At 54.9% G+C, this 20250-nt stretch overlaps 1 protein-coding gene across 5 annotated transcripts in view, besides 10 other annotated features; it reads left to right on the top strand.

Moving 5' to 3' along the window:
- Positions 1-11980, top strand: part of CACNA1A (calcium voltage-gated channel subunit alpha1 A) — a 300038-nt gene extending 288058 nt beyond the window's left edge. For 3 of the 5 annotated variants that reach the window (NM_001127221.2, NM_001174080.2, NM_000068.4), the window contains 9 exons: positions 3814-3921; positions 4089-4189; positions 5682-5791; positions 5900-6038; positions 6206-6319; positions 7770-7805; positions 8924-9110; positions 9413-9666; positions 10374-11980. In NM_001127221.2, coding sequence (NP_001120693.1) covers positions 3814-3921; positions 4089-4189; positions 5682-5791; positions 5900-6038; positions 6206-6319; positions 7770-7805; positions 8924-9110; positions 9413-9666; positions 10374-10376 — 1052 coding nt within the window. In that variant the 3' untranslated portion in view covers positions 10377-11980. Of the gene's footprint in view, positions 1-3813; positions 3922-4088; positions 4190-5681; positions 5792-5899; positions 6039-6205; positions 6320-7769; positions 7806-8923; positions 9111-9412; positions 9667-10368 lie in introns of all 5 variants that reach the window. The other 2 variants (NM_001127222.2, NM_023035.3) reach the window with 1 other exon arrangement.
- Positions 2201-2570: an enhancer, noted in NCBI's record as "active region_14127". NCBI's record gives its function as "activates an Ori minimal core promoter by ATAC-STARR-seq in GM12878 lymphoblastoid cells {active_cell/tissue: GM12878}" and the evidence as "EXISTENCE:reporter gene assay evidence [ECO:0000049][PMID:35858748]".
- Positions 2621-2821: a silencer, noted in NCBI's record as "peak3368 fragment used in MPRA reporter construct". NCBI's record gives its function as "represses an SCP1 promoter by STARR-seq MPRAs in K562 erythroleukemia cells {active_cell/tissue: K562}" and the evidence as "EXISTENCE:reporter gene assay evidence [ECO:0000049][PMID:32103011]".
- Positions 2691-2740: an enhancer, noted in NCBI's record as "active region_14126". NCBI's record gives its function as "activates an Ori minimal core promoter by ATAC-STARR-seq in GM12878 lymphoblastoid cells {active_cell/tissue: GM12878}" and the evidence as "EXISTENCE:reporter gene assay evidence [ECO:0000049][PMID:35858748]".
- Positions 8706-9606: an enhancer, noted in NCBI's record as "H3K27ac-H3K4me1 hESC enhancer chr19:13319630-13320530 (GRCh37/hg19 assembly coordinates)". NCBI's record gives its function as "activates a minimal SCP1, AML or CMV promoter by ChIP-STARR-seq in naive H9 embryonic stem cells {active_cell/tissue: H9 hESC(naive)}" and the evidence as "EXISTENCE:reporter gene assay evidence [ECO:0000049][PMID:30033119]".
- Positions 9593-9782: a silencer, noted in NCBI's record as "silent region_10203". NCBI's record gives its function as "represses an Ori minimal core promoter by ATAC-STARR-seq in GM12878 lymphoblastoid cells {active_cell/tissue: GM12878}" and the evidence as "EXISTENCE:reporter gene assay evidence [ECO:0000049][PMID:35858748]".
- Positions 9863-9912: a silencer, noted in NCBI's record as "silent region_10202". NCBI's record gives its function as "represses an Ori minimal core promoter by ATAC-STARR-seq in GM12878 lymphoblastoid cells {active_cell/tissue: GM12878}" and the evidence as "EXISTENCE:reporter gene assay evidence [ECO:0000049][PMID:35858748]".
- Positions 9913-10182: an enhancer, noted in NCBI's record as "active region_14125". NCBI's record gives its function as "activates an Ori minimal core promoter by ATAC-STARR-seq in GM12878 lymphoblastoid cells {active_cell/tissue: GM12878}" and the evidence as "EXISTENCE:reporter gene assay evidence [ECO:0000049][PMID:35858748]".
- Positions 10524-10563: a tandem repeat, named in NCBI's record as "calcium voltage-gated channel subunit alpha1 A repeat instability region".
- Positions 10525-10563: a repeat instability region, noted in NCBI's record as "repeat instability region; expansion of the (CAG)n trinucleotide repeat (CTG repeat relative to the plus strand of the reference genome) is associated with spinocerebellar ataxia type 6". NCBI's record gives the evidence for it as "EXISTENCE:polymerase chain reaction evidence [ECO:0000082][PMID:8988170]".
- Positions 15151-15351: a silencer, noted in NCBI's record as "peak3367 fragment used in MPRA reporter construct". NCBI's record gives its function as "represses an SCP1 promoter by STARR-seq MPRAs in K562 erythroleukemia cells {active_cell/tissue: K562}" and the evidence as "EXISTENCE:reporter gene assay evidence [ECO:0000049][PMID:32103011]".

Below are 20250 nucleotides of genomic sequence, written 5' to 3'. Positions count from 1 at the left end.
AGCTCACCTGAGCCTTGGTGCCCCAGGGTTTTTATTGAGGGTTTGTCATATAGGCAGGGCTGACGTAGTTACTCAGTCTCCAGTCCCTCCAGAGGTCAAACTGATACCACGTGGCCCAAGACCCCAACGATAAATCGCATTGTTAGAATGAACTGTATGGAAAATTATCCAGGCGTGGCGGCGGGCGGCTGTAATCCCAGCTACTGGGGAAGCTGAGGCAGGAGAATCACTTGAAACTAGGAGGCCGAGGTTGCAGTGAGCCAAGATCGCACCATTGCACTCCAGCCTGGGCAATAGAGCAAAAACACCATCTCAAAATAAATAAATAAATAGAATGAACTGTATTGGCCGGGTACAGTGACTCATGCCTATAATCCCAGCACTTTGGGAGGCTGAGGCTGGAGGATCGTTTGAGGCCAGGAGTTCGAGACCAGCCTAGGCAACATAGTGAGACCCTATCTCTTTTTTTTAAAAAAAAAAAAAAAAAAAAAAAAGAATGAACTATACAGTGTGGCCCAAGGCCCCCTGCTAAATAAAGACACTCTTCAGGCAGGACATTTCAAAGGCTTAGAGATCACCTCCCAGGAGCAAGTCAATGGGCCAGTCCTTTCATCGGAATGTGCAGGGTTTGGACAACACTAGCCTACTGAGCTAGTCCTTACTGCTTAGCACCCCAGCTTCTATGACACCTACTGGATTCCCTTCCTGAGGGTTTCAAAGACTCCTGGAGATGTCTCTGAATTTGGCTGTCACAGTTGTTACTTGTACCCCAGATGCCACTCAGTTCCCTGAAGACAATGATCCCCCAGATTTCTCAGCCAGGAGCCCCTCCACCTCTTGTCCTCAGTGGGTGCCAGGCCTCATCCTGGAGTTCCACAGCTGAGCCAGGCTCTCGGGGTTACGGAAGGTCAAGAGGGTGTGGGGACAACAATGGAAGAGTGATAACAGTGGCAGCCCTTTGAGCAGATGCGGGTCTCAGGAGAACATAACGCGCTTTCTTTTCATAGTTCAGCTCACTTTCTAAGCACACTGAGCTTCCTTTCCAGCAGGCTAAGGGGCTGCAAAGGGGGTACAGATTAACCTCATTCTTCAGATTCTCAAAAATGGTGTCACCATTCATTGCTGGAGACTGGGAGAAAGGGGGCAAGTCCATCTCATTCTCTCTGTCTCTGTCTCTCTCTCTCTCTTCCCTGTCCATCTGTTTCTCTCTCCCACCCACCCCTCTGTTCTCTCTGCCCAGAAGAATCTCTATTTTGGTTTTGGTTTTGTTTGTTTTGTATTGTTTTGAGACGGAGTCTCGTTCTGTCGCCCAGGCTGGAGTGCAGTGGCGCAGTCTCAACTCACCACTGCAGCCTCCACCTCCCAGGTTCAAGCGATTCTCATGCCTCAGCCTCCCGAGTAGTTGGGATTACAGGCGCACGCCACCACGCCCAGCTAATTTTTGCATTTTTACTAGAGACTGGTTTCACCATGTTGACCAGGCTGGACCCTATCCTCTTTCAAGCCCCCCACCCCAGGCATTGAGGGCAGAGCCAACTACCTGCCTGAACCAATTAGCATATTAAACGTAAACCCAGTTAGCATATCCAAATAGCAGCCCACAGTGACATTCTGACTGTCAGAATGTGGATTGCTTGAGCCCAGGAGCTCAAGGCTTCGGTGAACAAAGATTGTGCCACAGCCTGGGCAACAGAGTAAGTCCCTGTCGATCGATAGATAGATGATAGATAGATAGATAGATAGATAGATAGATAGATAGATAGATAGATAGATAAATTTTTAAAAAAAATAATAGGCCAGGCACAGTGGCTCATGCCTGTAATCCCAGCACTTTGGGAGGCCGAGGCAGGCAGATCACCTGAGGTCAGGAGTTCGAGACCAGCCTGGCCAACATGGTGAAACCCTGTCTCTACAAAAATATAAAAATAGCCAGGCAGATGTCTGTAATCCCAGCTACTCAGGAGGCTGAGGTAGGAGAATCGCTTGAACTCTGAAGGTGGAGGTTGCAGTGAGCCGAGATCATGCCATTGCACTCCAGCCTGAGTGACAGAGCGAGACTCCATCTCAAAAATAATAACAATAATAAAAATAATAATAAATGCTCTGGCCCCAAAGTGGCACATTACATGGTGCACACCCCATTAGCAAGGACTCATCACATGGCCCTGCCAACCACAGGAGGAACCCCCCCATGTACTCAGGTAGGAGGGCCAGGAAACACCGTCAGAGAGCTTTAATGACTCACCCCATGACTGGGGTGAGGGACGAGGGACTGGCTGCAGGCCAAGGGCATGTCCGTGGCAGTGGAGACTTGGGAAAGGGGAAAAGACCTCCTCTGAGCCACGCACAGTGGCTTTCATCTGTAATTCCAGCACTTTGGGAGGCTGAGGTGGGAGGATCTTGAGCCCAGGAGGTCGAGACTGCAGTGAGCTATGTTTGTGCCACGGCACTCTAGCCTGGGCGACAGAGCAAAACCCTGTCTCAAAAATCAAAATAAAACCAAAACCAAAACTTCCTCTGTTGGGGATGCTCCAGGGCGTCCCAGCCTTGAACAGATGGGTCACTGCAGTAATAATCCTATGGCAGACACTGTCCCAAGGCTGCACGCACGTTACTTTGATCATCAAACAACCAGGTGATAGCCAGGCATGGTGGTGCGTGCCTGTAGTCCCAGCTACTCAGGAAGCTGAAGCGGGAGAATCTCTTGAACCTGGGAGGCGGAGGTAACAGTGAGTCGAGATCACATGACTGCACTTCAGCCTGGGAACAGAGAGAGACTCTGTCAAAAAAAAAAAAAAAACAGGCCAGACGCGGTGGCTCACGCATGTAATCGCCAGCACTTTGGGAGGCTGAGGAGGGTGGATCACCTGAGGTCAGGAGTTTGAGACCAGCCTGGCCAACATGGTGAAACCCCGTCTCTACTAAAAATACAAAATTAGTTGGGCGTGGTGGTGCACACCTGTAATCCCAGCTACTCGGGAGGCTGAGGCAGGAGAATCGCTTGAACCCAGGAGGCAGAGGTTGCAGTGAGCTGAGATTGCACCATTGCACTCCAGCCTGGGCAACAAGAGTGAAACTCCATCTCAAAAAAAAAACAAAAAAAAAACAACCAGCCAGGCGCGGTGGCTTACGCCTGTAATCCCAGCACTTTGGGAGGCCGAGGCGTGTGGATCACCCGAGGTTAGGAGTTCGAGACCAGCTTGACCAACATGGTGAAACTCCGTCTCTACTAAAAATACAAAAAATTAGCCAGGCATGGTGGTGCATGTCTGTAATCCCAGCTACTCGGGAAGCTGAGACAGGAGAATTGCTTGAACCCAGGAGTCGGAGGTTGCAGTGAGCCAAGCTCGTGCCACTGCACTCCAGCCTGGGCAACAGAGCAAGACTCTGTCTAAAAAAAAAAAAAAAACACACACACACACACACAACAACCAGGTGAGGCAAGTACTCTTGCTATCATCTCCATTTCACAGATGGAGAAACTGAGTTACTAAGTGGTAGAGTAACCTAAGTCATGCAGCCGATAACTGGGAGACAAGATTGGGACCCAGGTCGCCCAGCTGTTCTCCATGCCGGGCTGTCTCCTGCACAGCTGCTCCATGGTCCTGGCCCCACCGAAAACCAGAGCCCACAAGGTCATTCCAGCAGCACTGCCCAGGGCCTCCTCTGGGCCAGGCCGTTGGGGAACTGGAGACCCCATGGGGACCAGAAAGATTGGGGTCTCGTTCTCGGGAGCCTATGGCTTTGCAGCTGACCCAGAGTCCAGCTGACACCCAGGCAGGCAGTCAGGGTCTGTCTACACCCCCATTGCAGGAGGAGCCGACAAACAGCAGATGGACGCTGAGCTGCGGAAGGAGATGATGGCGATTTGGCCCAATCTGTCCCAGAAGACGCTAGACCTGCTGGTCACACCTCACAAGTGTAAGAGCTGAGCCCAGCCCTGGGATCCAATCCACCAGGACAGATGGAGGGGGAGGGAAAGGGGAGGCCTGGGGAGAGTGTTGGCCTGGGCTGGTATACACAGGGACCCAGGACAAGGGCCCCAAAGAGGCCTGCCCTTGGTGAGCTCACCGTGTGTGTGCCCCCAGCCACGGACCTCACCGTGGGGAAGATCTACGCAGCCATGATGATCATGGAGTACTACCGGCAGAGCAAGGCCAAGAAGCTGCAGGCCATGCGCGAGGAGCAGGTGCGCTGTTCGCCGCTCTGGGGACATCTGGGCTGGGGACAGTGGCTTGCATGTCACCACGGGAACCAACTGGAATATGAGGGTGGCTGAGCCCCAGGGCAGGTCCCTGAAAAGTAGGGGCTGTGCACAGCAGCTCACACCTGCAATCTCAGTGCTTTGAGAGGCCAGGGCAGAGGGATCGTTTGAGACCAGGATGAGACCACCCTGGGCAACACAGTGAGACTCCATCTCTACAAAATAAAACATTAGCCAGGCATGGTGGTGCACACCTGTAGTCCCAGCTATTTAGGAGGCCAAGATGGGAGGATCACTTGAGGCCAGGAGTGGGAGACCAGTCTGGGCAACATAGAAAGACCCATATCTCTACAAAAAAAAAATAAAATTAGCTGCATGTGGCGCCATGCACCTGTGGTCCCAGCTACTTGGGAGGCTGAGGCAGGAGAATCACTTGAACCTGGGAGGTGGAGGTTGCAGCAAGCCAAGATCAAGCCACTGCACTCCAGCCCGGGTGATAAGAGCAGGACTCTATCTCAAAAAAAAAAAAAAAAAAAAAAAAAAAAGTTCTTGCCAAGGACACATCATGTGGATTCATTCTTCATTCAGCTGCTCCACCAACACTTATTGAGTATTACTGTGTGCAGGGCGCTGTTCTCAGTCCTCGGGGATGCACCCATGGGGAAAATAGGCCAGAATCCCTGCCCTCAGGGAGCAGACATTCCAAGTGGGGAAATGCCAATGGTAGCAAATGACTGAATCGTGCAACATCCAGCAAAGAGAAAGAAAGTGTCGTGGGGGAAAGTGGAGAAGAATCCAGAAGATAGGAGTATCCAGGGGAGGAGGGGATGCGGTGGGAAATGGGTAGTTGGGGAGCCTCCCTGAGAAAGTGACATGTGAGCAAAGGCTTGAAGGAAAAGGGGAGAGGGAGTGAGCTAAGCAATACCTGGAAGGGTGTTCCAGGCAGAGGAAACAGCCAGTGCAAAGGCTCTGAGGCTGGACCGTGCCTGGGTTGTTTGGGTAACAGCAAAGAGGCCAGTGTGGTGGAAAAGAGCAGGGAGGAGACAAGGGCAAGGAGGTGACAGGGCAGATCCTTCAGGGCCATGGGAGCTGCAGGAAGGACTCTGGCTTTTTCCCCAAGCAAGTGGGAGCCATGGAGGGTTCTAAGCAAAGGAGGGATAGGACCTGACTCAAGTGCTCATGGGCGCCCTCTGGTGGCTCTTGTGGAACAGTGGGGTTGAAGGTAGGAGCGGGAGACCTGGGAGAAGGTGCCTGCAGTGAGAGATGAGGACGTGGGACCAGGCTGGGGCTATGACTTGGGTGGAGGAGTGAGAAGTGGTCCAGTTCTGCGTGGAATTGGAAGGGTCTAGATGGATGAGACCTGAGAGAGTGTGTGTGTGTGTGTGTGTGTATACTGGGGATGTCGCAATGCCTTCTGGGTACCACCGTCCCACCACCCCACCCTTGTCCACACACTGCTCTCTGCCCCATTCCCCAGGACCGGACACCCCTCATGTTCCAGCGCATGGAGCCCCCGTCCCCAACGCAGGAAGGGGGACCTGGCCAGAACGCCCTCCCCTCCACCCAGCTGGACCCAGGAGGAGCCCTGTGAGTGTCACCCCTGCCAGGGAGGTGGAGTGTGGGGGTGCCGTGGTCCCCACGTTCTGGAAGCTGCCCAAGCGCCCACTGCTACCCCGGCCTCTGTCCCCCATGCAGGATGGCTCACGAAAGCGGCCTCAAGGAGAGCCCGTCCTGGGTGACCCAGCGTGCCCAGGAGATGTTCCAGAAGACGGGCACATGGAGTCCGGAACAAGGCCCCCCTACCGACATGCCCAACAGCCAGCCTAACTCTCAGGTGCCTCTGTCCCCCAACTCCCCAATGGCTCCCAGGGCCCGGGTGGTTCAGGTGGAAGGGATCTGGGCCCCCCACACACACACACCTGCAGCTCCCTCCCTCTGCAGACACCAGGGATCTGGAGGTCAGGCCCCAGAGCTCATCTGGCTTTGCCATCTGCTCCGCAGTCCGTGGAGATGCGAGAGATGGGCAGAGATGGCTACTCCGACAGCGAGCACTACCTCCCCATGGAAGGCCAGGGCCGGGCTGCCTCCATGCCCCGCCTCCCTGCAGAGAACCAGGTGAGGGCTTTCACCACTGCCCTGGGGCTGGACCCCTCACTCTGCACTGGGTAGGGCCAGGCCCCCCCACAAGCAGCCCAGTGCATCCCCTCCCTGCCGGACTCAGGCCTGGGTAGGGACTCCTTCAGTCTCTGAAGCAGTCTGCAGGCCCCACCCACCACCTGGTCACACCTGGAGCACCTGCAGACCCTCCTCCCTCACAGAGGACAGAGAGGAAAGTGCTCCCCCTGGGGCAGAGGGCAGTGGCCACTGCAAAATGGTCTCTGGCTGCCCTGGTTGGAGGCTGCAGACAGGGGAGGTTGTGGAAGATTTGTGGGTGCAGCAGGGTTCAACAGGGCCAGCTGAGACCTGCCACGAAGATCACCCCTACACAAACACACACACACATGCTCAACATACATGCACACACATGTGCAGCTGTGCGCCTACTCAGATGCTTGCATACACACACGTGTGTGCACGTGGGCATATACACACTGCACATGTACTCACACATGCACACATGTACGTGCACACGTGTCTGCATATGGGAACTTGGCAGGTCCTAGGATACAGTAGCAGAGTCTGGGGTGGGTCTGGGGGCAGCTGGGCTCGTATTTTCTGTCTGGTCTCTGTGGGAGTCATTGGGGGGCACAGGGGTGTGTGCTTGATGTGTGTCTGTGTGTGGCCGCTTCACCCAGCTGCCAGGCCCACCTGCAGGTGATCCCGTTGCCTTGGACTCATGGGACAGAGGGCCCAGAGGCATAGCTGGCTGCCCACCCGGCCTGAACAGCGGGGGCCCATGCACGCAGCCCGCCTCTGGAGGAGAACAGGGCATGGCTGTGAGAGCCTGGCCCGGGTGCGTGGCATGTGTGGCTGTGGCGAGCTTTCCGTGTGCCGTGTGTGGCGTCTGCACGGGGCAGGAGGCTGTGCTGTGCCTGGCTGGACCAGGGTCACCTGAGGGCCTGGCCTCTGGCTGCTGGGAACGTGGGTTGGGGAGCACCCAGCGTGCATGCTGCTGCTCCCTCAGGACCGAGCTGCTGGGCCCCAGGAGAGGGTTGGGACAAGCCCAGCTGACGGCCACCACATGGAAGCTTTGAGCATCGGCCGGAGCCAGGGGTTGGGGTGTGCATCGCATGAGGCAGAGCCCAGGGCCAGGGGCTCGAGGCTGCGCCGTCCTGTCTTTCGGTCCCATGCCTCTGCCATTTGTCTGTCTGCATCTCCTGTCTGTCTCCTCTGTACCCATGGGAATAGAGGACGCCCAGCCCCGGGGGCCTGGGACACCCACCCGCCAGGACTTTAACTTTTCTTTTCCTCCCTGCCTTCTCCCTCCGATTTCTCTTGATGCCAGTGCCACTCCCCTCCTTGGCTTCTTCTCCATGCACCACCTCCTCACTCTCCCTCTTGCCTTTTATATTTATTTTCTTCTTTCTGTTTTTTCTGTGTGCACCATCCCATGGGGCTGTGACAGAGGAGAAGGGGCCGGCCACGTGGGAATAACCTCAGTGTATGTACCGCGCCTGCCCAGCGCCCAGCAGGGCTCCGGCCCCCTCTTCCTCCCCACCCCCCCTCCAGGGAGTCCCGTCATCTCTCACCGTCCCCGGACCCCACCCTTTCTTTGGCAATCGCACCCTCTCCCCTCCATGGAGCCCAATCCTTGTGTGTGGTGTCCTGTGTGTGCCCCTCACCCATAAGCCCTGGTGGGCGGGGCCATCCCCATCCTCACCCCTACCCCCTTTTCTTCAGGGCCCCCCACGCCGGAGGACACTGGCTCTCCAAGAGCCTGGCCCACTCTGCACCTCTTTCTGGGGGGCTTCTTCTCCTGACACCACCACCAACCCCTGGTCCTGCAGCTCCTACCTGGAGCAGGGCCACCAGCGCTCAGCTGGGCTGGACCCTGGGAGGCGGGCGTCTGCCCCATCTCCCTCCTTCCCTCCTCTGCCTGCTGCAGAGAAACCTGTGTGTCAGGGCTTGACCCAGGGATGAAGCACCAGGGAAAAGAGTGGGCCCCCAGAGCCTCCAGTGCCTGGGTATCCCCCACCCCCACCCAGAGCTCCCTAGCTTGGGCCTCACCAGAAGGACTCAGACTTGTGGGGGCAGCGAGCACAGCCCCGTTAGCCGGGAGGACCCAAAGCTGCCATGCCGGGCACCTGGTCCTGAGCCCATAGGTCAGCCAGCCACAGTCGGAGGCTTCTCACCCTCCCAGGAGAGCAAGCTGGGGCAGGGATGAGTGCGGCAGTCCAGGGCTCCCAGGTTTGCACCCTGGATGTGGAGAGGGCTTCCCTCTGGCCAGCCTGAGCCTGCCCAACTGTGGCTGGGCCCCCAGGACTGGAGAGTGAGGATCAGATCTTTCTGGTCAGAACCCAGGATGGGCTCAAAAGGAGCAGTCCTGTCTCTGAGGGACAGAGGAATCCTCAGGCTCCACCCTCAGAGGCCTGGCCACACCCAGAGCCCTGATTGATCAGGGGGAGCCAAGGCCCCATGGCATCCCCTGGCCCCTGCCCCAGGATGGTCACACCGCAGTCACCGAAGGCCACCACCAGGCTGCCACAATGGGGCAGGAAGGACCGGGACCACTTGGTGCTAGCTGCTGACCCCAGCCCACCGGCCTGTCCCCTCCCCCAGACCATCTCAGACACCAGCCCCATGAAGCGTTCAGCCTCCGTGCTGGGCCCCAAGGCCCGACGCCTGGACGATTACTCGCTGGAGCGGGTCCCGCCCGAGGAGAACCAGCGGCACCACCAGCGGCGCCGCGACCGCAGCCACCGCGCCTCTGAGCGCTCCCTGGGCCGCTACACCGATGTGGACACAGGTGGGCAGCCCTGTGGTGCTCAGGGACAAGCAGAACAGAGGAGAGGAGAGGGGAGGAGAAGGCAGGGCGGAGGAGACACTAAGGAAGAAGAAAGGGAGAGGCCTCCATGGAGAGGGGACAGAGGGGGCCAGGCAGCAGCTGCAGGAACCTGGGTACTACCCCCTCCCCCCAACCCACTGACCTGCCTCGGTTCAGGGGATCTCTAGGGCCCCCACACCTTCCAGGTGGCCTCCTGTGTGTGCATCTGCCCCACCTCTCCCTCACGACCACCTGTGTGTCTGTCTGACCCTCACCCGGCCCAGGCTTGGGGACAGACCTGAGCATGACCACCCAATCCGGGGACCTGCCGTCGAAGGAGCGGGACCAGGAGCGGGGCCGGCCCAAGGATCGGAAGCATCGACAGCACCACCACCACCACCACCACCACCACCATCCCCCGCCCCCCGACAAGGACCGCTATGCCCAGGAACGGCCGGACCACGGCCGGGCACGGGCTCGGGACCAGCGCTGGTCCCGCTCGCCCAGCGAGGGCCGAGAGCACATGGCGCACCGGCAGGTGGGTGCGGCTGCAAGTGACCCCAGGCTGGGCTCGGCCGGGAGGCGGGGAGGAGAGAAGGGGATACCCCATCCAACAGCCACTCTAGGCAAAGGTCCCCGGATCCCGGCTGTGACCACCTCCCATCCTGCCCCCAAGCCACCGGGGTGCCCGGCGGCCGGAGCGGACACGGATCCCCACCACACCAGCTGCCTATGCTGTCCCCCCAGCCCCCTTGCCCACCCGCCGCCCCCTCCCCGCCGCCCGCAGCTGCTTGCTCCTCGGTTGTGGATCATATTTGAGTTCTGGGCCGTGCCGCCCGACCTTTCACTTTCCTTTAACCCGGCTTCTGTTTTTGTTTCAATTATGATTTCTGTCCTCTGGACGCCTGTGAGTAATTTTTGAAACTTCTGCTATTTTTAACCCCGAAACTTACAAAACTCCATTTCTCATTTCTCTTTTCACTTTGTTGTGTTGGTTTTCGACTCCTCCCCTCCCTGTCTCACTCCCCCTCCTCCCCTCCCTCCTCCCTGTGGCTGTTGCTTTTTTCCATTCAATGTCCTGTGTCCCCCCTCTCCTCCTCCTCCTCCTCCTCCCCCTCCCCCTCCTCCCTCTCCTCCCGGCCCCTCTCCCTTCGCTCCCCTCTCTTCCTCCCAATCCCGTGTCTCCTTTGATTTTGTTGTATCTTTTTTTTTGATTTCCTTTGTTTCAATTTTCGTGTAGGGCAGTAGTTCCGTAAGTGGAAGCCCAGCCCCCTCAACATCTGGTACCAGCACTCCGCGGCGGGGCCGCCGCCAGCTCCCCCAGACCCCCTCCACCCCCCGGCCACACGTGTCCTATTCCCCTGTGATCCGTAAGGCCGGCGGCTCGGGGCCCCCGCAGCAGCAGCAGCAGCAGCAGCAGCAGCAGCAGCAGCAGGCGGTGGCCAGGCCGGGCCGGGCGGCCACCAGCGGCCCTCGGAGGTACCCAGGCCCCACGGCCGAGCCTCTGGCCGGAGATCGGCCGCCCACGGGGGGCCACAGCAGCGGCCGCTCGCCCAGGATGGAGAGGCGGGTCCCAGGCCCGGCCCGGAGCGAGTCCCCCAGGGCCTGTCGACACGGCGGGGCCCGGTGGCCGGCATCTGGCCCGCACGTGTCCGAGGGGCCCCCGGGTCCCCGGCACCATGGCTACTACCGGGGCTCCGACTACGACGAGGCCGATGGCCCGGGCAGCGGGGGCGGCGAGGAGGCCATGGCCGGGGCCTACGACGCGCCACCCCCCGTACGACACGCGTCCTCGGGCGCCACCGGGCGCTCGCCCAGGACTCCCCGGGCCTCGGGCCCGGCCTGCGCCTCGCCTTCTCGGCACGGCCGGCGACTCCCCAACGGCTACTACCCGGCGCACGGACTGGCCAGGCCCCGCGGGCCGGGCTCCAGGAAGGGCCTGCACGAACCCTACAGCGAGAGTGACGATGATTGGTGCTAAGCCCGGGCGAGGTGGCGCCCGCCCGGCCCCCCACGCACCCCACGCACACACCCCACCCGAGGAGCCGCGCAGAGGCCGCGGGGGCCCAGCACAGAGGGCCCGGGAGAGGGCCAGCCGGGAGACCCCAGACTCTGGAGAGGCCAGGGCTGGGCCACAAGGGTGTCCCGCAGAGACCCTCGGCCAAAAGAGACCCTCCTGGGCAGCCACGGCGCCCCCCAACCAGCCCCGATCCCCCCACCCACGACAGGGGCTCTCGGGTGGGAGGCAGGGAGCAGACAAACCACACAGCCAAGGGATTTGAATTAACTCAGCCATTTTTGGAGAACTTTGGGGAACATGAAAAAAAAAAAAAAAAAAAAAAAAAAAAACATTTTTAAAAGAAAAAACGGGGAGAAAAAAATAGCTTCTATTGATGAGTTTTATCATCTCAATTGAATCTTTCCTTTCCCTGATGAAGACAGCTGGTGGCCGAGTGCGGCAAAGAAGCCAGAAGGAACCAGAATCCCAGTGCCCTACACCCACCACCAGACACACTCACACCCACACACGTTCTCAGACACACACAAGAGTGCTTGCCGGTTATACCAAACCCTACTATTACTGCCTGCAGAAATCAATTTAAAAAAATAATAATAACAATAAACAATTTTAAAAAGGACAAAAAAATTAATGATTGAGAAAAGAGGCATTTTTTTCTGACATTTGGTCCTGCTTGAAACAACAAAAGAAGAAGAAAAACCCACCATCACCACCGATTCCTTTGCTTCTTTTTTCCTTTTTTCCTACCTTGTTTGAAAACCGTGGGCTTGGGACTGTGAATTATTGCATGACATTCAAAAAGAAAAAAAAAATAAAAAAAAGTTGAATCAAAGGGCTTTTGGATAGGAGTGGTCTTTGTCCCTTGGCTAGGTGCTGCCTGGGTGGGTCTCTCTTGGGGAATCATACAAAGAGGCACTTCTTTGTTAGCTCCTAGAAGCACTGTTTGAAAGCGACAAGGAGGCCGGGCATCATGCACGCCTGTAATCCCAGCACTTTGGGAGGCTAAGGCAGATGGATCACTTGAGGTCAGGAGTTCGAGACCAGCCCGACCAACATGGCAAAACCTCATCTCTACTAAAAATACAAAAAAAATTAGCCATGCGTGGTTGCACAAACTGTAATCCCAGCTACTCCGGAGGCTGAGGCATGAGAATCACCTGAGCCTGAGAGGCGGAGGTTAGCAGTGAGCCAAGATCCCACCACTGCACTCCAGCCTGAGTGACGGAATGAGACTCTTGTCTCAAAATAAAAAAAAAAAAGGCAGGGCGCGGTGGCTCACGCCTATAATCCCAGCACTTTGGGAGGCCGAGGTGGGTGGATCACATGAGGTCAGGAGTTCACAACCAGCCTGGCCAACATAGTGAAACGCCGTCTTTACTACAAATACAAAAATTAGCCACGCGTGGTGGTGGGTGCCTGTAATCCCAGCTACTCGGGAAGCTGAGGCAGGAGAATTGCTTGAACCCAGGAGGCGGAGGTTGCAGTGAACCAAGATCGTGCCACTGCACTCCAACCTGGGTGACAGAGCAAGACTCCATCTTAGATAATTAATAATAATAATTTGGTCTCGTGGACACCAACCCCCGCCCCCACGAAGTGTTTCAGCCATCCCCAGAGTCCAATACCCCTTTGAGAGCTTCTGTTCTCACAACAGTACCTGACCCATAGCAAGCTACTATTGACTATCACCATTACTACTGTAGCATTAAGGCAAACATTTTGAACAGGTCTTGTTCCAGACAACAGGCCCTGCTTGAGCTTACCTTGGGTAAGAAATCTGCAGACTCCAGATAGCAAGACAGGTGTAAGTCCTTCTAAAATAATGGTAAGCCAAATGTGGTGGCACACACCTGTAGTCCCAGCTGTTCAGGAGGCTGAGGCAGGAGGATCACTTGAGCCCACGAGGTCAAGACCAGCTATGATCACACCTGTGAATAACCATTGCATTCCAGCCTGGGTGACGTAGAAAGATCCCATCTCTAAAAAAATTAAAAGTAAAAATAAATAAATAAAATAATGGCATCTAGGAAAAGATCAGTCCAACGAGAAGTCAAAGTTTTGAGGTCGAGTGCGGTGTCTGACTCTTGTAATCTCAACACTTTGGGAGAATCACTTGAGGCCAGTAGTTCAAGACCAGCCTGGGCAACATAGCAAGACGCTGTCTCTAAAAAAAAAAGTTTGTTTTTTTTAAGGCTGGGTACAGAGGCTCACGCCTGTAATCCCAGCACTTTGGGAGGCCAAGGTGAGCAGATCACCAAGTCAGGAGTTTGAGACCAGCCTGGCCAACATAGTGAAACCCTGTCTCTACTAAAAATAAAAAAATTAGCCAGGTGTGGTGGTGCATGCCTATATTCCCAGATACTTGGCAGGCTGAGGCAGGAAAATCGCTTGAACCTGGGAGGCAGAGGTTGCAGTGAGCTGAGATTGCGTCACTGCACTGCAGCCTGGGCGACAGAGTGAGACTACGTCTCAAAAAAAAAAAAAAAAAAAAATGGAATGGAAGGGAGGGAGGGAGGGGTTTAACTTTCTAACCAGGCAATCTGGCAACCACCACAGGCTTCTAAACAAGCTGCCCATCCATTGCAGAGCTGGCCTCTGGTCCCCCTCCCATGGTGCTGGGGTTGAGTGTGTCCAGGAGCCACTGGAGTAAGCCAGGGTTTGTGCAATTCCCTCTGCTGTCAATGAGGCTGCAGCCATCTGTCCTCCCAGGAATGAAGTTCACTACCGAAGCCCCCCATGAGCCCTGAACTCAAAGGCCAAGTCTATGCCCGAGTGCCAAGAGGTAGACCCAAGGCCTCCACAGTGCACATCATCAGGCTAGAGTGTTAGTTGCCCAGGAGACACAGGGTGGGAAGATCAGGGGATGAGGAAGAGGGGCGGAGCTTGGCCTAGTCCCCAGTCTCACATACTCTCAGGCCATTGCTTGAGCCTCATCACCTGGAAGGTTGGAAGGGCATGATTGTCATAGAAATGCCCTGAGGTGACCGGGCGCGGTGGCTCAAGCCTGTAATCCCAGCACTTTGGGAGGCCGAGGCGGGCAGATCATGAGGTCAGGAGATCAAGACCATCCTGGCTAACACGGTGAAACCCCGTCTCTGCTAAAAATACAAAAAATCAGCCGGGCATAGTGGCAGGCGCCTGTAGTCCCAGCTACTCAGGAGGCTGAGGCAGGAGAATGGCGTGAACCCGGGAGGCAGAGCCTGCAGTGAGCCGAGATCATGCCACTGCACTCCAGCCTGGGCAACAGAGCGAGACTCAAGAAAAAAAAGAAAAAGAAATGCCCTGAGGTGCAAAAGCCCAGGCATTGGCCGGGCGCGGTGTCTCACGCCTGTAACCCCAGCACTTTGGGAGGCCAAGGTGGGTGGACTGCTTGAGCTCAGGAGTTCGAGACCAGCCTGGGCAACATGGCAAGACCTTGTCTCTACTAAAAATAAAAAAAAGCAGAGTGTAGTGGTACATGCCTGTGGTCCCAGCTACTCGAGAGGCTGAGGCAGGAGGATCACTTGAGCCCAGGAGTTCGAGACCAGCCTGGGCAACATGGTGAAACCCCATTCCTACAAAAAATACAAAAATTGGCCAGGCGTGGTGGCTCACGCCTGTAATCCCAGCACTTTGGGAGGCCGAGGTGGGCGGATCACCTGAGGTCGGGAGTTCGAGAACAGCCTGGCCAACATGGAAAAACCCCATCTCTACTAAAAATGCAAAATTAGCCGGGCGTAGTGGCGCATGCCTATAATCCCAGCTACTCGGGAGGCTGAGGCAGGAGAATCACTTGAACCTGGGAGGTGGAGGTTGCAGTGAGCCGAGATCATGCCATTGCGCTCCAGCCTGGGCAACAAAAGCGAAACTCCGTCTCAAAAAATAAATAAATAAATAATACAAAAGTTAGCCCGGCATGGCGGTGCATGCCTGTGGTCTCAGCTACTTGGGAGGCTGAGGTAGGAGGATCACTTGAACCCAGGAGGTCAAGGCATCAGTGACCTATGATCACACCACTGCACTCCAGCCTGGGTGACAGAGCAAAACCCTGTTCCAAAAAAAAAAGAGAGAGAGGGAGACAGAGAGTTATTTTAGGAAGGTTTGTTTATGTAGACTCATCTTGGGACTGACTATCTGCAGTGATAGGAGTCATTCTGCTCTCCCTGGTAAGGAGACGGGGGGATACCTCCACAAAGGAAAATTTATGTCACCTTTTTTTTTGAAACGGAGTCGCACTCTGTTGCCCAGGCTGGAGTGCAGTGGTGCAATCTTGGCTCACTGCAAGCTCTGCCTCCTGGGATCACGCCATTCTCCTGCCTCAGCCTCCTGAGTAGCTGGAACTATAGGTGCCCGCCACCATGCCCAGCTAATTTTTTTGTATTTTTAGTAGAGACAGGGTTTCACCGTGTTAGCCAGGATGGTCTTGATCTCCTGACCTTGTGATCTGCCCGCCTCGGCCTCCCAAAGTGCTGGGATTACAGGAGTGAGCCACCACGCCCAGCCTTATGTCACCTTCTTAAAGAGAAGTTTATGCCTGGCTTTGAGGCAGAAAAGTAGAGAGCAGAGAATTCTTTCTGCCTCTACTGATTTTTTTTTTTTTTTTTTTTTTTTGAGACAGAGTCTCGCTCTGTTGCCCAGGCTGGATTGTAGTGTCAGGATCTCGACTCACTGCAACCTCCACCTCCCAGGTTCAAGGGATTCTTGTGCCTCAGCCTCCCGAGTAGCTGGGACTATAGGTTCCCACCACCATGCCCAGCTAATTTTTTATATTTTCAGTAGAGACAAGGTTTCACCATATTGGCCAGGATGGTCTCCAACTCCTGACCTCAGGTGATCCACCCACCTCGGCCTCCCAAAGTGCTGGGATTATAGGCGTCAGCCACCGCGCCTGGCCATCTACTGATTTTCTATTGCATTCAGCTCAGAATAATTCTTATGCTAAAGTTGATAGATAGATACATAGATAGATACATAGATAGATAGATAGATAGATAGATAGATAGATAGATAGATAATAGATTGTTTGTTTGTTTGTTTGAGACAGGGTCTTGCTCTGTCACCCAGGCTGGAGGGCAGTGGTGCAATCTCGGCTCACTGCAACCTCAGCCTCGCAGCCTCGAGCCATCCTCCCACCTCAGCCTCCCAAGTAGCTGGGACCACAGGTGGATGCCACCATATGCCTGGTGAATTTTTTGTATTTTTGGTAGAGATGGAGTTTTGCCATGTTGCCCAGGCTGGTCTCGAACTCCCGAGCTCAAATGATCCACTCACCTCCACCTCCCAGAGTGCTGGATTACAGGCGTGAGTCACTGTGCCCGGTCTCTAAGTGATATATTTTTAAGAGTAACATATCCTGATCCCCTTCAGCTGCCGTCAGAGAACTGGGGTGGGGACGTGGAAGGGTGACATCGCTCTGCTGGAGGACTTGTGAGAGAGCCCAGACTGTGCAGGGGGCCCAGCCAGAGCACCCCAGCTTCCAGGACTGGAACCCCAGCCTCAGGAACTCAGGGCAACGCTGGGGTGAAGGCTCAACTTTAGGGAAATACCCGGAAGCAGAGAGGATGGGGTCAGGACACCCAGCCAGGAAGCTGCATTTATTTCACTGTGCATTGGAGAAAGCCCCACCAGCCCAGCAAAGCCAGTCTCTTACAGATACCAATGATTAAAGTGATAAAACAGGGCCGGGCACGGTGGCTCACGCCTGTAATCCCAGCACTTTGGAAGCCTGAGGCAGGCAGATCATGGAGGTCAGGAGTTTGAGAACAGCCTGGCCAACATGGCAAAACCCCGTCTCTACTGTACAAAAATTAGACAGGGGAGGTGGCGTGCACCTGTAGTCCCAGCTACTCAGGAGGCCAAGGCAGGAGAATCACTTGAACCCTGGAGGTTGCAGTGAGCCAAGATCACACCACTGCACTCCAGCCTGGGCGATGGAGAGAGGCTCTGTCTCAAAAAAATAAATAAATTTAAAAAACTGGGCCAGGCACAGAGGCTCACGCCTATAATCCCAGCACTTTGGAAGGCCGAGGCGAGCAGATCACCTGAGGTCGGGAGTTCCAGACCAGCCTGACCAACGTGGAGAAACCCCATCTCTACTAAAAATACAAAGTTAGCTGGGTGTGGTGGTGCATGCCTGTAATCCCAGCTACTCGGGAGGCTGAGGCAGGACAATCGCTTGAACCCGGGAGGCGGAGGTTGCAGTGAGCCGAGATCGCACCACTGTACTCCAGCCTGGGTGACGGAGCAAGGCTCTTTCTCAAAAAAAAAATTTAAAAGAAGTGATAAAACAGGCCAGGTGCAGTGGCTCATGCCTATAATCCAATATTTTGGGAGGCTGAGGTGGGAGGATCACCTGAGCCCAGGAGGTTGAAGCTTCAGTGAGCTGTCATCACACCACTGTACTCCAGCCTGGGTGACAGAGCGAAACCCTATCTCAAAAAAAAAAAAAAAGATAAAATGTTTCAAGTTAAAAAAAAAAAAAAAGTGGCCAGGCGCAGTGGCTGATGCCTGTAATCCCAGCACTTTGGGAGGCCGAGGCAGGTAGATCACAAGGTCAGGAGTTCGAGACCAGCCTAGCCAACATGGTGAAACCCCGTCTCTACTAAAAAATACAGAAATTAGCCAGGTGTGGCAGCGGGTGCCTGTAATCCCACCTACTCAGGAGACTGAGGCAGGAGAATCGCTTGAACACGGGAGGCAGAGGTTGCAGTGAGACAAGATTGCACCACTGCACTCCAGCCTGGGTGACAGAGCCTCCAGTCTGGGAGATAGAGCAAGGCATCATCTCAAAAAAAAAAAAAAAAAAAAAAAATTAAAGAAGTCAGGTGTGGTAGCAAGCACCTGTAGTCCCAGCTAAGGCTAAGGCGAGAGGATCACTTGAGCCCAGGAGTTTGAGAGCAGACTGGGCAACCTAGCAAGAACCCATCTCAAAAAAAAATTAAAGAAATAGGAGTTGGGCCAGGCATGGTGGCTCATGCCTGTAATCCCAGCACTTCGGGAGGCCGAGGTGGGTGCATCACCTGAGGTCAGGAGTTCAAGACCAGCCTGGACAACATGATGAAACCCCATCTCTACTAAAAATACAAAAATCAGCCAGGTGTGGTAGCGGGCACCTGTAATCCCAGCTACTCAGGAGGCTGAGGCAGGAGAATTGGCTTGAACCTGGGAAGCGGAGGTCGTAGTGAGCCGAGATCATGCCACTGCACTCCAGCCTGGGAGACAGAGGGAAACTCCGTCTCAAAAAAATAAAATAAAATAAAAAATTAAAGAAATAGGAGTTGTATTAGTCTCTTCCTGTGGCTGCTGTAATAAATTATCACAGGCTGGGTGGCTTACAATAGCAGACATTTGGCTGGGCACAGTGGTTTACACACATAATCCCAGCACTCTGGGAGGCCGAGGCAGGCGGATCACCTGAGATCAGGAGTTCAAGACCAGCATGGCCAACATGGAGAAACCCCTTCTCTACTAAAAATACAAAAATAAATAAATAAATAACCAGGCATTGTGGCAGACACCTGTAGTCCCAGCTACTCAGGAGGCTGAGACAAGAGAATCGCTTGAACCTGGGAGACGGAGGCTGCAGTGAGCCAAGATCGCATCATCGCCCTCCAGCCTGGGCAACAAGAGCGAACCTCTGTCTCAAAAAAAAAAAAAGTCAGGGCTGGGCGTGGTGGCTCAAGCCTGTAATCCCAGCACTCTAGGAGGCCGAGGCAGGTGGATCACAAGGTCAGCAGTTCGAGACCAGCCTGACCAACATGGTGAAACCCCGTCTCTACTAAAAATACAAAAAAAAATACCTGAGCATGGTGGTGGGCGCCTGTAATCCCAGTGACTTGGGAGGCTGAGGCAGGAGAATCACTTGAGACTGGAAGGTGGAGGTTGCAGTGAGCCAACATTGCGCCACTGCACACTAGCCTGGGCAACAAGAGCAAAACTCCGTCTCAAAAAAAAAAAAAAAAATCCTATCCTTGGACTTCCCTGCCTCCAGAAATGTGAGCTACACGTTTCTGTCGTTCATGAATCCCCCAGTCTACGATATTTTGTTATAGCAGTCCAAACAGACTAAAGCAGATGCTATTCAACCCACATCAGTAACACAAGCGATAAAGGAGGTGCAGACTGTGTCCGCAAATGACCCGGCATCGTGGGATACAGCTAGCCGAGGAAGCACTGGACGCTCCGCTCTGTCTCCCACTGTGAGTCCTGTGGGAACTGGCTTCCTTCTGAGCGTTTACCTGAAGTACACGGTTACTGTGATGACGAATCACTCCCATTCCCTCACCGATGTCAGCTGAGCACCTGCTGAAGGCCAGGTGAGGATGAGCAGACAGGGGCAGCCATCGCGGAGGAGAGACTGCAGAGGGGACAGACACGGAAACCAATGTCATCCCACCCACGTCCTGAATCGGTGATGACAGCCACGTCCGCTATATAGGGTGCCTACGTTCCATCTGGGCTCCTGTCTCTGCCGCCCCTGCCCTGCCTGGAATGATGGCCGGTCCCACGCTGCGGTCTCCTGTCACACCCGTCACGCCTACTACCTCTCCCCCTGTGAGCTTCCCCCAGCCCCAGGCCCCTACGAGCCCTGCACACGTTTACATCAGGCCCAGCCCCTCTCACCCACTCTTGGTTCTCTCATACCTGTCCCTGCAGCCCTGCAAAAGGCGACCTCCCTCCTGCCCACTCTGATATATATATATTTGGACATTTATGTGTGTATATATATATATATATATATATATATATATATATATATATGAACAGGGTCTTGCTCTGTCATCAAAGCTGCAGTGCAATGGCGCGATCATGGCTCACTGCAGCCTGGAGCTCCTGGGCTCAACCAATCCTCCCTCCTCAGTCTCCCAAGTATCTGGGACTACAGGTGCACACTACCACATCCAGCAATTTTTTGTGCAAACTGCATCTTGCTATGTTGCCCAGGATGGTCTGCAACTCCTGGCCTCAAACGATCCTCCACCTCAGCCTCTTGAGTAGTTGGAATTACAAGCATGAGCCACTACACTCAATACTTTTTTTTATTGATGCATCATAGATGTACATAGTTTTGGGGGTACATGTGATAATTTAATACATTCATATAATTTGTAAAGATCAAATCAA

This window comes from Homo sapiens, chromosome 19, assembly GCF_000001405.40.
Source record: "Homo sapiens chromosome 19, GRCh38.p14 Primary Assembly".
In the NCBI taxonomy this organism is placed as follows: domain Eukaryota; kingdom Metazoa; phylum Chordata; class Mammalia; order Primates; family Hominidae; genus Homo; species Homo sapiens.
The sequence above is the reverse complement of the archived record's forward strand: the minus strand, read 5'-3'. Positions and strand labels throughout refer to the sequence as shown.